General features: G+C 34.6%; 1 long non-coding RNA gene across 1 annotated transcript; it reads right to left on the bottom strand.

The window, feature by feature from the left end:
• Nucleotides 1-4,619: 4,619 nt before the first annotated feature.
• Nucleotides 4,620-6,659, bottom strand: LOC107985666 (uncharacterized). The gene is made up of 2 exons (XR_001755995.1): nt 6,577-6,659; nt 4,620-4,791 (listed from the first exon to the last, which is right to left on the bottom strand). It is a non-coding gene; the product is annotated as an uncharacterized LOC107985666 (long non-coding RNA).
• Between the last annotated feature and the right edge of the window lie 7,921 nt (nt 6,660-14,580).

Below are 14,580 nucleotides of genomic sequence, written 5' to 3'. Positions count from 1 at the left end.
TGCTTTCTTTCAGCAGTATTTTGTAGTTCTCTTTGTAGAAATATTTTACTTCCTTGGTTAGGTGCATTTCTAGGTATTTGTGTGTGTGTGTATGTGTGTGTGTGTGTATTGTAAATGGGGTTATGTTTTTGATTTGACTAATGTAACACTTAAATAATACTTGATTCAACTTCTGTATAAGGCAAATACACTTTCTGGCTTAAACATAATTCCTAAACTCTTGCTATGTGTCAGGTGCTTTACTAGGCATTGGGGATACAATTCTTAGGTAGGGGATCAAAAAAGAGATAGACCTTGCTCTCAGTAAGTTCAATGTCTAGTATGGGAGATATAAATTACATTTGTAAACAGTCAAATATATGATTAAAATTATGATAAATGTCTATGAAGACAAGGCTATCATATAGAGATCTGACATATAAGATAAGGTGATGCTTTACTGAATATCTGAAAGAAGGGGAGCCATGTGAAGATCCAAATGTGAATTCTACCCCAAGGCAGAGAGTGAGCATAAATACCAGGAAAAAGCAACTAGCCAAAGTACTTTTAGGCATAAAAGAACAAGAAATATTAAAAGAACTAAAGGAATCTCAATGTGGCTGAAGAAGGGAGTTCATGAAAAAAAAAGCTAGGGATATGGTAAAGACAAGACCATCCTGAGTACAATAATAAACCATTAAAGTATTTTAAGTTTATTCTTGGAGGGGTGCAGTAAGGAACGCTACAACTGAATTGGTAGTTCAAGAAACTCTTGGAATATAGGGTGGAGAATGGATTGGAGAGAAACAAGACCAGATACCGGTTTAGGGCAGGGGAGAGTTAGTAGACTATTGTAATAGTTGATGCTAGAAATGAGGGTAGTTTGCATTAAAATGGTTGTGGTGATAAAGATGGAGAAAATTGGATAAATCAAAAATGTTTAGAATATAAAATTTATAGGACTTGGCAATCAATTAGATGGGTGTAGTGTTTAAGGAGAGGTAGGTTAATGTCAAAAATGACTCCAAGACTTGAAAAACTGGGGATATAATGGTCCTGTTGACTTAAATAGGAGAAATTTAATAGCATTTTATTTGGATTTGGTTTGAATATGTTGTTTTATGTGCTTTTGAGATATCCAGGTGGAAATATTAAACAGACAATTGATCAATGTGCCACTAAATTTGGTGTCTTTAAGGGCTCAGTCCCTGCTTCCAATATGGCACCTGGAAGCTGCATCCTCCAGAGGGAGGAGCATTGTTCCTCACATGACAGAAGAGCAAAAGGGGGTGGATCTACTTTCAAAAGCCCTTTTTATTGTAACATTAATTCATCCATGAAGGTAGAGCCCTCATTAACTGAACACTTCCCATTGGGTGGTACCTCCAAACACTGCTGCTTTGAGACCGAAGTTTCAAACACATGAGTTTTGAAGGGGACAAACATTCAAACCACAGCAGAGATATACATTTTATTTATTCATTGTTATTTCACTCAAAAAATTATTTCTGGGCCACCAATCAGGTTAATGGAACACAGCAGTATATATGAGAGATGAGGTTCTCATCACATGGAGTTCACATTCTAGTGGGGCAAGAGAGACATAAATAAAGAGATAAGCTGAGAGAAGGAAGCATCAAATATAGAAAACTGTGAGGCAATCATTCCTTTTGAAAAGGCAACACATACAGTAAAATATGAATGATGAGTAGGACACAGCTATGTGAAGATCCAAATGTAAATTCCAAGAAGAGTGAATCTGAAGAACAAAAATAAGTCCAATAAGGCTGGAGTATAAGTAATGAGTGAAGAAATGGTACATAATATTAGAGAGGCAGACTGGTATAATTCAGTGTAAGGCCACCACTTGGTGCTTTATTGTTTACAACTGCCATTCTGGTGGGCATATGGTGATATTGCATTGTGCATTTAATTTATTTACTCCTTCTAGATAGTGAAATGGGGTTTTTTTGTGTGTTTTGGGGCCATTTGGTTATCCTCCTTTGAAAAGTGTTTAAGTCTTTTGTCTGTTTTCCTAATTAGTTGTATCCTTTTTGTATTTATGGGAGTTCTTTATGTATTCTGAGTACTTTTTTTTTTTTTGCTCAGAGGTATGCATATCTTTTTTCACTCTGTGAGTTGTTATTTAATTTTCTTATTGGTATCTTTATATTGATTTACATTCTTCATGTAATTAAATATATATTATATTCTTTTATGGTTATTTTTTCTGCCTTGTTTAAGAAATATTTGTCTTCCAGAAGTTCATAAATACATTCTACAAGTTTTCTATAGAAGTTTCATTTTTTGCTTTTAACATTAAAATATGCAATCATTCTGAAATTGATTTTTATATATGGTATCATTAAAATTCAATTTTTCCAGATGGATATTCTATTGACCCAATGCAATTTTTTAAAAAGACAAGTCATTCATCTACCCTGTTCTTTAATGTTGTCTTTATAGAAATTCAGGTTGCTGTAAATCCATAGGTCTGTTTCTGAACTCTGTTTTGTTCTATTATTCAGTTTGTTTATCTATGCATCACTAACACACTGTTCTAATTATTATAATCTTATAATAGTTTTTAAAATCCAGTACTGTATGTTTTCTAGCTTTGAGCTTCCTTATGTTCACCTTGGCTATTACTGGTCATTTTCCAGGATTTTCATTAGAATTATGTTCAATATTTAGATTCATTTGGGAACAATTAACATTTGTTCAATACTGAGTCTTTTACTCTATCAACAAAATATATCCCTTTATTGTATCATCCTTTTTAAAATTTTGCTCAATATTGATTTATAGCTTTTAGCATAGCTGTAATCCACGTATTTTGTTCAACATATTCTTAGGTATTTTATTTTTAATGCTATTTCAAATGGTATAATTTCTAAAATTTTGTTTTTTAGTTATTTGTTGATTTTTATTCTAAATGCTTATTGAGAAATCTTGTTAAATTAGCTGATAAATACTAAAAGTTTAAAAATTATTTTGGATTTTCTACATCTACAACCATATCATCTACAAATGAAAATATATATATATATAATTTTAAAATATTTATGCTTTTATTTCCTTTTCTTACCTTATACATTAGTTAGGATTCTCTTTATAAGCTATAGAGTAGTTACTGTTTTTCCATTCTTTGGAAGAGTTTATGTACAATTGGGTTTATTTCTTCTTTGGAAGAGTGCACAGTGAAGCCATCTGAGCTTGGGGATTTCTATGAGGGAAAGTTTCAAATAATAAATTTAATTTATTTAATGGATATGACTATTATATATTTTCTATAATTGGATTTATTTGTTTTTGGTATCTATTAACTTCTTTTTATTGAACATAAGAAAACGTAGTTTACTCTGGTCGTGTTTTTTCCTTTTTTTCTTTCTTTCTGAAGCTAGTAACTCTTTATGCATCAAAATAACTGATTGCAAAATCGAACAAGGACATTATGTTTCTGCAAATTGCAGACCACACTTTCACAAACTTGATGGAAAATCCTTAGTGAAATAATAGAAAATTGGGTTCAGTGATATATGAAAAGGGTATTACATCACATCTCCAAAACAATGCAGTTCACCTTGACAAAATAAGAAGAAAATAAAATAACCATAAGATTATATGTTAAAAAATGGGCATAAATATAACACAAATTCATTAAAAACAAACTTTTAGAAAATGAGGAATAAAGAGAAACTTCTTTATATAATAAAGAATTTCCAGAAAAAAAGTCTTTTCAGCAACCATTAAACTCAATGGTGAAACATTGAAAATGGTTTACTTGAGATAAGGAAAAAGAAAAGGAAACATGCTATTACAGTTTCTTTGCAATGTCATATAGGGAATCTTACTAATGCAAACTTGTTTTTGTTAGAGTGTAATGACAATTTTTGAGGTGTGTTTTCTTTTTTTAAAATCTCTATGCAGCATATGCTGTAGGTGCCCTATCGACATTGCCTTCATGGAAATCTTTCCCAGAAAGTTGTACCCTTTTTCAAGCAGCCAACCAGTTTTTACTGATTGACTGACATGAAAAATAACAAAAAGCCGTTGACCTTTTTCCAAGGTGAGACCAAATCTATGGTACATTTAAGCTTCATTGCTACTCCTGGGACTAAGCTTTATAGTCTCAGGGCTTTAAGTCCAAAGGCTTGGTATGCTTTTTCCACCAGTCTAAAGCCTCAATGTTCTTCCTTTGCAGGCACCACTACACTAATCACTTTTACAAAAATCTCATTTCAACCTCTGTTTCTGGAGAATGCTAACTATGACACTCTTTATCCTTAAGTTTTCCTGTTTTTTTTTTTAATGACTAATTTTTACAGAGGCTTTTTTCAGATAACTGCTAATTTCTCAATGTCAGTTATTTAGTTATTTCCTCTTGAACTGATTATATTCCTCAGAGAAGGCTCTCCCTGTCTGTACTGAAGGGTAAAGTCCTGGCTTCCAGTGTTCTAGAAGTGTAATGAAGGGAGATATCCAGGGATCTCATCATTGAGCATACGTGTGTTTTGACCTGACATTTCCTTTCAACTAGATTCTTTTTGTAAATTTTAAATTTTGTGTATGTGCCTCTATCAATTATTGGAAAATATTAAATAAAATATTTGTGATATATCAATAAGACTTTCCGCCACTAAAGGATAAAACATAAATTTTATTATATGTCAGAGAAAGCAGTGACATAAAATCAAGCAACCAACTTCTAGTCCTGACATTGCTTCTACATATATGTGGGGTCTTGAGCAGGTCAATAACATCTTTGGATCTTAGTTTCCTTTTCTGGAAAGTATGATTTTGGATGTGAAACTAGGGGAGAGAGAGTAAAGAGGAAAGTTATATCATACAGAAAAAATAAGCATATTATTTTAATATCTGCTACAAAGGTATATCCATGCTTTATTTTATTTCTACAATAGCTTCTATGAATGACTTGAAAACGATACCATCATGTGATTTCACTGAGAAATTCAAATTTGAACTTAAAGGACAGATATAGTATGACATTTGAATACATAGTTTCCAGAAGTTATAACCACCTCACACTCAAGAGAGTTGGGAAAAGAAAGACTCTCTAGTTATGGAAAATTTTATACTCAAGACAAAATTTTCTTTAATCATAGCTGAAGAAGAAACGTTAGATTTTGAGACTTTGGACAGTTTTTGAGGATAACTGGCACATCTAATGCTACTAGTGTCTCAATCATTGAATTTTTTGCATTGGAAATCTATTGGAGTATCTGGCCATTTACTAATTTTCTGGAAACATTATTTTAGAGTGGCAAGACTTTTGGCAGACTTTATTGTGTGATCCCACAACAAACACAGTTGAACAAATGATGAATGGGTATCTGATGCAAGCTGGATTAATCCGAGACTCTTTTCCAGAAATTTTAATTGCAAATGAAAGAAATGATATCAATTTATCTCCTGGTTGTTGTATACTAAACAAACACAGTCATATGAACTACAGAAGCAAAGAAAGTCACTCTGCAAAGAAAAAGAAAAATGAAGAAAACACACAGAACAGAGTACAAACAAATTAGAAAGAAAACACTGATAGCATTCTTGCTTCTAGTTACTTTCTGGTTTCCTTCTGTACTTGGGTTCCTTGATAAATCCTGTTTATTTACAATAAATCACTTTCATCTTGCTTAAGGTAATTTAAGTTGGTTAACTGCAACCAAGAGAATGCTAACCTATATCATATTCTAATGATTTCAGATTATTCTATTTGTTCATTAATTCCTAGAATTAGACTAGTTGGGTATCACAGAAAATGTCAAGTCAAATCTGCTGCATCTTTTATCGAGTTTTAAAAAGATGAAATTCCATGCTGGTGGTGTGAGATCATAGAGAATTTCTCAATGACTGCTTGTGGGATGACATTCTAGTAATTCAGAATATATATATATATATATATATATATATATATATATAAAAATTATTGGAGATATATATATATATATAGTAATTTATATCCAATAATGATGCTTCTGGGAATCTATCATAAGAAAACTAATCCAAAATATGAAAAAATCTTAAATGTACTGTCATGAACCACAGAATGATATTTAGGTAAACAAGAGACCATGTATAGCACTGTGGTCACATGAGATTATAATGCCATATTTTTACTGTACCTTTTCTATCTTTAGACATGTTTATATACAAAAATACTCACCACTATATAACAAACAGTTACCTACAGTATTCAGTACAGTTACATGCTGTACAGATTTGTAGCCTGTAGCAATAGGCTATACCATACAGTCTAGGTGTGTAGTAGGCCATAAACTCTAGGTTTGTGTAAGTAAAATCTATGATGTTCACACAAGAATGAAAATTTCCCAAAGACACATTTCTTAGAATGTATTCTGTCTTTAAGTTATGCATGAATATATTAGTAGAAGCATTTTTTGTAGTGATAAAATTTGAAATGATCTATATCAGCAAAAACTATTTGAATTAAGACAGGAGGAGAATAGAAACCTCCACCAATCATTGTCCCCCACGGGAACACTGAATTGAACAACTATCCACATAAGAAAGCACCTTCATAAGAACCAAAAGTCAGGCAAGTGTTCACAGTACCTGGTTTTAACATCCTATTAAGACTAACTGAAGACAGTAGGAAAGACAGTCTTGAATTGCCAACGTCAACCCTCCCACATTCTCCCCACCCTGGCAGTGGCCATGTGGCACAGAGAAAGAATCTGTGTGCTTGGGGGAGGGAGGGTAAAGTGATGACGGAACATTTCATTGGAACTCAGTGCTGCCCTGTCACAATGGAAAACATCCCAGGGTAGAATACAGTCCAGCACCCAATGGAGGGAACACTTATACCAGTCATAGCCAAAGAGGACTTACCATCCCAGAGGTCAGAACCTGAGTTCTGCTTAGCCCCACCACAGTGGGCTAAAGTGCTATGGGGTTCAAAATAAACTTAAAAGATAGTCTAGGACTCAAGGACTGCAATCCTGGGCAACTCCTCCTGCTGTACTGGGCTGAGAGCCAGTGGACTTGAGGGGCACACAGTCTAGTGAGATACCAACACAGTCGGCCAAAGGAGTGCTTATGTCACCCTTCCCCCAGTCCCAGGCAGTGCAGCTCACAGCTCCAGGAGAGATTTCTTCCCTCTTCTTGAGGACAGGAGAAGGAAGAGTAAAGAGGACTTTGTCTTGCAGCTTGTGTACCAGCTCAGCCTCAGTCAGGTAGAGTACCAAGTGGTTTCTTGGGGTCCCCAATTTCAAGCCTTGGTTATTGGGTGGAATTTTTGGACCTTATCTGGGCCAGAAGGGATTCCACTGCCCTGAAGGCAGAGTCCCAGGCCTGGCAGCATTCACCAAAAGCTGACTTAAGAGCCCTTGGGACTTGACTGAAAATCAGTGGTAGCCAGGCAGTACTCGTCATGGATCCTGGGTGAGACCCAGGGCCATGCTGGCTTCAGAAGTGACCCAGGCCATTCCCAGCTATGGTGGCCATGGGGAGAGACTCTTTCTGCTTGAGGAAAGGAGAGAGAAGAGTAAAAAGAATCTAATTTTACAACATGGACACCAGCTAAGCCACAGTAAGATAAAGTATCAAGCAGTCTCTTAACATTTCCAATTCTTGGCCTTAGTTCCTGGCGTGCATTTCTAGATCTACTCTGGACCAGAATGGAACCCACTCTCCTAAAGGGAGAGGTCCAGGTCAGGCAGGACTTAACAACCTGCTGACTAAAGGGTTCTTGAGCCTTAAATAAGAAACAGTACCTGGCAGTACTTGCCATGGGCCTAGGACGGTGGTGGCCAGGGGAGAGACTTCTTCTGCTTAAGGAAAAGAGAAGACTAATTAAAGAGGACTTTGGGCTGGGTGTGGTGGCTCATGCCTGTAATCCCAGCACTTTGGGACACCAAGGCAGGCAGATCACGAGGTCAGGAGTTCAAGACCAGTCTGGCCAATATGGTGAAACCCCGTCTCTACTAAAAATACAAAAATTAGCCTGGTGTGGTGGCACACGCCTGTAGTCTCAGCTACTCAGGAGGCTGAGGAAGGAGAATTGCTTGAACCTGGGAGGTGGAGGTTGCAGTGAGCCAAGACCATGCCATTGCACTCTAGCCTGGGCAACAGAGTGAGACTCCTTCTCAAAAAAAAAAAAAAAAGGACTTTGTCTTGCAATCTGGGTGCCAACTCAGCCCGAGTGAAATAAAGCATGAAGCAGATTCCTAAAGCCCTCGATGTCAGGCCTTATTTCCTGGATGGCATTCATAGACCTACTCTGGGGAAAAAGGGAACGTACTCATCTGAAGTGAAAGACTCAGTCCTGGCAGGATTCATCATCTGCAGGCCGAAGAGCAACGCTTGAGTCTTGAACAAACATTAGCAATAGCCAGGAAATTATTGACAGAGGCCTCGGTGAGCCCCAGTACAGTGCTGGCTTCAAGCACAATCTCAGTAGTGGAGGCCACAAGAGTGCCTGCATCACCTTTCCCCCAAATTCAGGCAGCTCAGCACAGAAAGAAGAATCCATTTGTTTGGGGAAAATAGAGGAAGAGAACAAAAGAATCTCTCTAATAATCCAGGAAATTCTCCCAGATCTACCACAAGACCATCAAGGTGGTTTCTCCATGCATCTGCAAGAGTCACAGTATCACTGGGCTTAGGATGACCTCTAATGCACATAAGACTGCAGTGACCAAAGATTACAACACTCAATTCCCTTTGAATACCTGGAAAGCCTTCTCAAGAATGATGATTACAAACAAGCCATGATTGCAAAGATTAAAATAAATATCTAACTCTTCAATGCCAAGACATCAGCAATAATCAAGATTATGCAGGAAAACATGACCTCACTAAATGAACTAAATAAGTCACCAGTGAACAACTCCAGAGTGACAGAGATGGGTGATCTTTCAGACAGAGAATTCAAAATAGCTGTTATTGAGGAAGCTCAATGAAATGCAAGATAACACAGAGAATGAAAGCAGAATCCTATCAAATAAATTTAACAAAGAGATTGAAATAATTTAGAAAAATCATTTAGAAATTCTGTAGATAAAAAATTCAATTGAAAAATTGAAGAATGTGTGACAGTCTCTCAATAACTAAGCTGATCAAGAAGAAAAAAGAATTAGCTTGAATACAGACTATTTCAAAATACACACTCAGATGAGATAAAACATAATAAAACAATGAAGCATGCCTACAAGATCTATAATATAGCCGTAAAAGGGCAAGTCTAAGAGTTATTGGCCTTAAAGAAGAGGTAGACAGATCAAGATAGAAAGTGTATTCAAAGGGATAATAAAAGAGAACTTTTCAAACCTCAATTCTGCTATTAATATTCAAGAACAAGAAGGTTATAGAACATCAATGAGATTTAACTGAAATACAAATACCTCAAGACATTTAATAATCAAACTCACGAGGGTCATTTATAAAGAATATTCCTAAAAGTAGAAAGAGAAGAGAAGCAAATAACTTACAATGAAGCACCAATACACCTCACAGCAAATTTCTCTGTGGAAACTATACAGGCCAGGGGAGTGGCATGACATATTTAAAGCACTGAAGGAAAAAAAAATCCTAGAATAGTAGATCCAGCAAAAATATCCTGCAAACTTGAAAGAGATATAAAGACACTCCCAGACAAACAAAAGCTAAGAGATTTTCTGAACACCAAACCTGTCCTACAAGAAATGCTAAAGGGAGTACTTCAATCAGAAAGAAAAAGATGCTTATTCTTCACAGAACTAGAAAAAAACAATTCTAAAATTTATACAGAACCAAATAAATAAGAGCTCACATAGCCAGAAAGAAAAATTAACAATACTAAGAAATTCAATACTAAGAAAAATTAACAAATTTGGGAGCATCACATTATTAGACTTCAAATTATACTACAAATTTATAGTTACCTAAACAGCATGGTACTGGTATAAAAATAGGAATATAGACCAATGGAACAGAATAGAGAACCCAGAAATAAAGACAAATACTTACAGCTGACTGATCTTCTAAAAAGCATACAAAAACATAAATTGGGGAAAGGACACCCTATTCAATAAATGGTGCCGGGAAAACTGGCAAGCCACATGTAGAAGAATGAAACTGGATTCCCATCTCTCACCTTATACAAAAATCAATTCAAGATGGATCAAATACTTAAATCTAACACTTGAAACCATAAAAGTTCTAGAAGATAACATTGGAAAAATTCATCTAGACATTGGCTTAGGCAAAGAATTCATGACTAAAATCCCAAAAGCAAATGCAACTATAACAAAAATAAATAAATGGGACCTAATTAAACTAAAAAGCTTTTGCACAGCCAAAGAAATGATCAACAAACAGACAACCCACAGAGTGGGAGAAAATATTTGCAAACTACATATCCAACAAAGTACTAATATCCAGAATCTACAAGGAACTCAAACAAATCAGCAAGAAAAAGAAATTAAATCAAAAAGTGGGCAAAGGAATGAATGGACAGTTCTCAAAAGAAGATTGACAAACAGCCAACAAACATATGAAAAAATGCCAAACATCACTAATCATCAGTAAAATGCAAATTAAAACCACAATGAGGTACCACCTTATTCTCTCAAGAATTGTCATAATTAAAAATTTAAAAAACAATAGTTGTTGGCATGAATTTGACGAAAAGGGAACACTTTTACACTGCTGGTGAGAATGTAAATTAGTACAGTCTCTATGGAAAACAGTATAGAGATTCCCAAGTGAACTAAATGTAGAACTCCCATTTGATCCAGCAATCTGACTACTGGTTTTGTACCCAAAGGAAAAAAAAGTCATATGAAAAAGACCCATGCACACTCATGTTTATAGTAGCACAATTCACAATAGCAAAGATATGGAATCAACCTAAGTGCCCATCAACCAATAAGTGGACAAAAAAATATGGTATATATACAACATGAAATACTACTCAGACATAAAAAGGAACAAAAAATGTCTTAGCAGCAGCTTGGATGCAGCTGGAGGCCATTATTCAAAATGAATTAAGTCAGGAACAGAACAGCCAATACTGTATGGTCTCACAAGTAGGAACTAAGCTATAAGGATGCAGAGGCATAAAAATTATGTAACAGACTTTGGATACTTGGGGGTAAGGCTGGGAGAGGGTTTGAGGGTTAAAAGACTACATATTGGGTACAGTGTACAATGCTCAGGTGATGAGTACACTAAAATATCAGAAATCACCACTAAATAACTTATCCACACAACCAGAAATCATCTATTCTTCATCTATTTAATCAAACAATTAAAAATTAAAATTAAAAAAGAAAGACAAAGATCTTAACGAGCAAGAGGAAATCATCCTAAGGTACAAAACAAACTGGTAATAGTAAGTAGACAGACAAATACAGATTATTGTAACACTCTAATTGTGGTATGTAAACTACTTATATCTTAAGTAGGTAGACTCATAGATGAATATACCAAAAATAATAACTACAGCTTTTTAAGACATAGATAGTACAATGATATATAAATAGAAAAAATAAAAAGTTAAAAAGTCAGACAGATAAAGTTAAAATGCAGAGTTTTGGTTAGTTTTCTCTTTATTTGTTTGTTAATTTAACTGTCTTTGCCATCAAAGATAAGTTATCATCAGTTTAAAATAATGGGTTATATGATTTGGAAACCTCATGGTAACCTCTAATTGCAAAACCAGAAACAGATACAAAAATTATATAAATTAAGAAATGTAAACATACCAACAGAAAAAATCAATTTCAAAAATAGAAGATGGGAAGGAAGGAAAAAAGAAGACAACAAAACAAACAAAACAGATACCAAAATAGCAGTGCAAAGTACCTACTTACCAGTAGCAACATTGAAGGTAAACAAAATTGAAAGTCCAATAGAAAGACAAAGAGTGCATGAATAAATGAAAAAAAAAACGAGACCAAATGATCTATTGGCTGTAGGAAACTCACTTCACCTACAAAAACAGATGTAGAATGAAAATAATGGGGTAAAAAGAGATATTCCATGCTAACAGACAGCATAAAAGAGGAGGAATAGCTCTATTTATTGAATAAAATAGATTTCCAGACAAAAACTATAGAAAGAGTCAAATAAGGTCATTATATAATGAGAAATTCAGAAATATCAATTCAATAAGAGGATACAACAATTCTAAGTATATACGTACCCAACAGTAGAGCACCCAGATATGTAAACAAATGTTATTAGAGCTAAAAAGAGAGACAGATCCCAACACAATAATTGTTGGAGATTTCAACACTCCACTTTCAGCATTGTACAGATCATCCATACAGAAAATCAACAAAGAAACATCGGACTTAATATGCATTATGGATGAAATGGACCTATTGGGTATTTACAGAACATTTCATGCAATAGCTGCGGAATATGCATTCTTCCTCTCAGCACATGGATTATACTCAAGGATAGACCATATGTTAGGCCACAGGTCTTCAAAGATTCAAAAATAATGAAATTATAATATATCTAGTATCTTTTCCGACCACAATAATAATAAATAGAACTAGAAATCAGCATCAAGAGGAATTTTGGAAACCATAAAAACACATGGAAATTAAACAATATGCTCCTGAATAACCAGTGGGTCGTTCTTATACCTACTTATACCACTGTTATTCAAGATATTACTGAAAGTCCTAGCTAGAACAATCAGACAAGAGAAAGAAATATAGGGCATCCAAATTGGAAAGGGAGAAATAGCGTTATCCTTGTTTGCAGATGATATGATCTTATATGTGGAAAAATCTAATGACTCCAATGAAACACTATAAGAGCTAATAAAAAAATTAAGTTGTAGGATACAAATAAACATAAGAAATCAGTAGTATTTCTTTATGCCAACAGTGAACTATCTGATAATCAAATTGGAAATAATCCCATTTACCATAACTACAAAAAATAACAGAATCTAATTGTTTCATATGGCTGAGTAGTACTCCATTGTGTATATGTACCACATGTTCTTTATCCCTTTGTAAGTTGATGGACACTTAGGTTGCTTCCAAATCTTGGCTATTGTGAATAGTACTGCAATAAACCTGGGAGTGCAGATAACTCTTTGATATACTGATTTCCTTTCTTTTTCATATCTACCTAGTAGTGGGATTGCTGGATTATGTGATAGCTCTATTTTTAGTATTTTGAGGAAGCTATGAACTGTTCTTCATAATAGTTGCTCAAATTTACATTCCCACCAACAGTGTATGAGGGATCCCTTTTCTCCACATCCTTGCTAGCATTTATTTTTTCCTGTCTTTTGGATAAAAGACATTTTAACTGGAGTAACATATCTCATTGTAGTTTTGATTTGCATTTCTCTGATAATCAGGAGGTCATTATTTTAAGTGAAATAAGCCATGCATAGAAAGAGAAACACCACAAATTCTCCCTAATCTGTGGGAGTTAAAGATTGAAACAATTTAACTCATGGAGATAGAGAGTAGAAGGATAGTTACCAGAGGCAGGAAGGGTAGTCAGGGGTTGGGGGGAAAAAGGGATGATTCATGGGTACAAAATATAGTTAGAAAGAATAAATAACACTTAGTATTTTCTAGCAAAACAGGGTACCTGTAGTAAAAAGTTAATTTAATTGTACATTTAAAAATAATTAAAAGACTACAGCTGGATTGCTTGAAACACAAATGATAAATGCTTGCCGTGATAGATACCCTACCAAAACAGAAACAAAAACAAAAACTAGTATTTGGGACAGAAGGATATCTTCTTGTCAACCTAACTCTCAAGGGGTATATAAAAAATGTTCTTCGCCCACTTTTTGATGGGGTTGTTTGTTTTTTTCTTGTAAATTTGTTTGAGTTCATTGTAGATTCTGGATATTAGCCCTTTGTCAGATGAGTAGGTTGCGAAAATGTTCTCCCATTTTGTAGGTTGCCTGTTCACTCTGATGGTAGTTTCTTTTGCTGTGCAGAAGCTCTTTAGTTTAATTAGATCCCATTTGTCAGTTTTGGCTTTTGTTGCCATTGCTTTTGGTGTTTTAGACATGAAGTCCTTGCAGAGCTTCCAGCAGTTCAAATAGTTAATATCAATTCTGAGACGTCTCAGTGAAATAATTCAAATTATTCACTTTCTCACTGATTTTTTACCACTATGCACGTATGTTCTCTGTTGAGGATATTTAAAACTCAGAGTGGGGGAACTTGGGGCAAGACCAGGATCAGGCACCTACGTGGATGAACTGAAATAATTTCACTCTAAATTCATCTTTAAATACATCCAGTTGGTAAATATTGTTCTAACTTGTACAAGGTGGTAAGAACTTACAATTAGGTGCTAACTATATATTGTATGTATTGTAACGTCACCATGTGCCCTGTGCCCCATGAATATGTGTAATAATTACTTGCCAATAAAAATAAAGAAAAAAAAAGAAAAAATGTTCTTTATCCTCACTTGTAGCCTCTCTATAAGTGTGTTTATTTAAATTATGTTTTTAAGATTATCAAAAATGTTTTTTATCTTTATAAAATAAAACTGAATTTTTTAAAAAAAGATACCTAGGAATTAACTTATCCTAGGAAATGAAAGATCTCTATATTGAAAACGATAAAGCATTGGAGC

This window comes from Homo sapiens, chromosome X, assembly GCF_000001405.40.
Source record: "Homo sapiens chromosome X, GRCh38.p14 Primary Assembly".
Taxonomy (NCBI): domain Eukaryota; kingdom Metazoa; phylum Chordata; class Mammalia; order Primates; family Hominidae; genus Homo; species Homo sapiens.
This window is presented reverse-complemented; position numbering and strand designations above follow the sequence as displayed.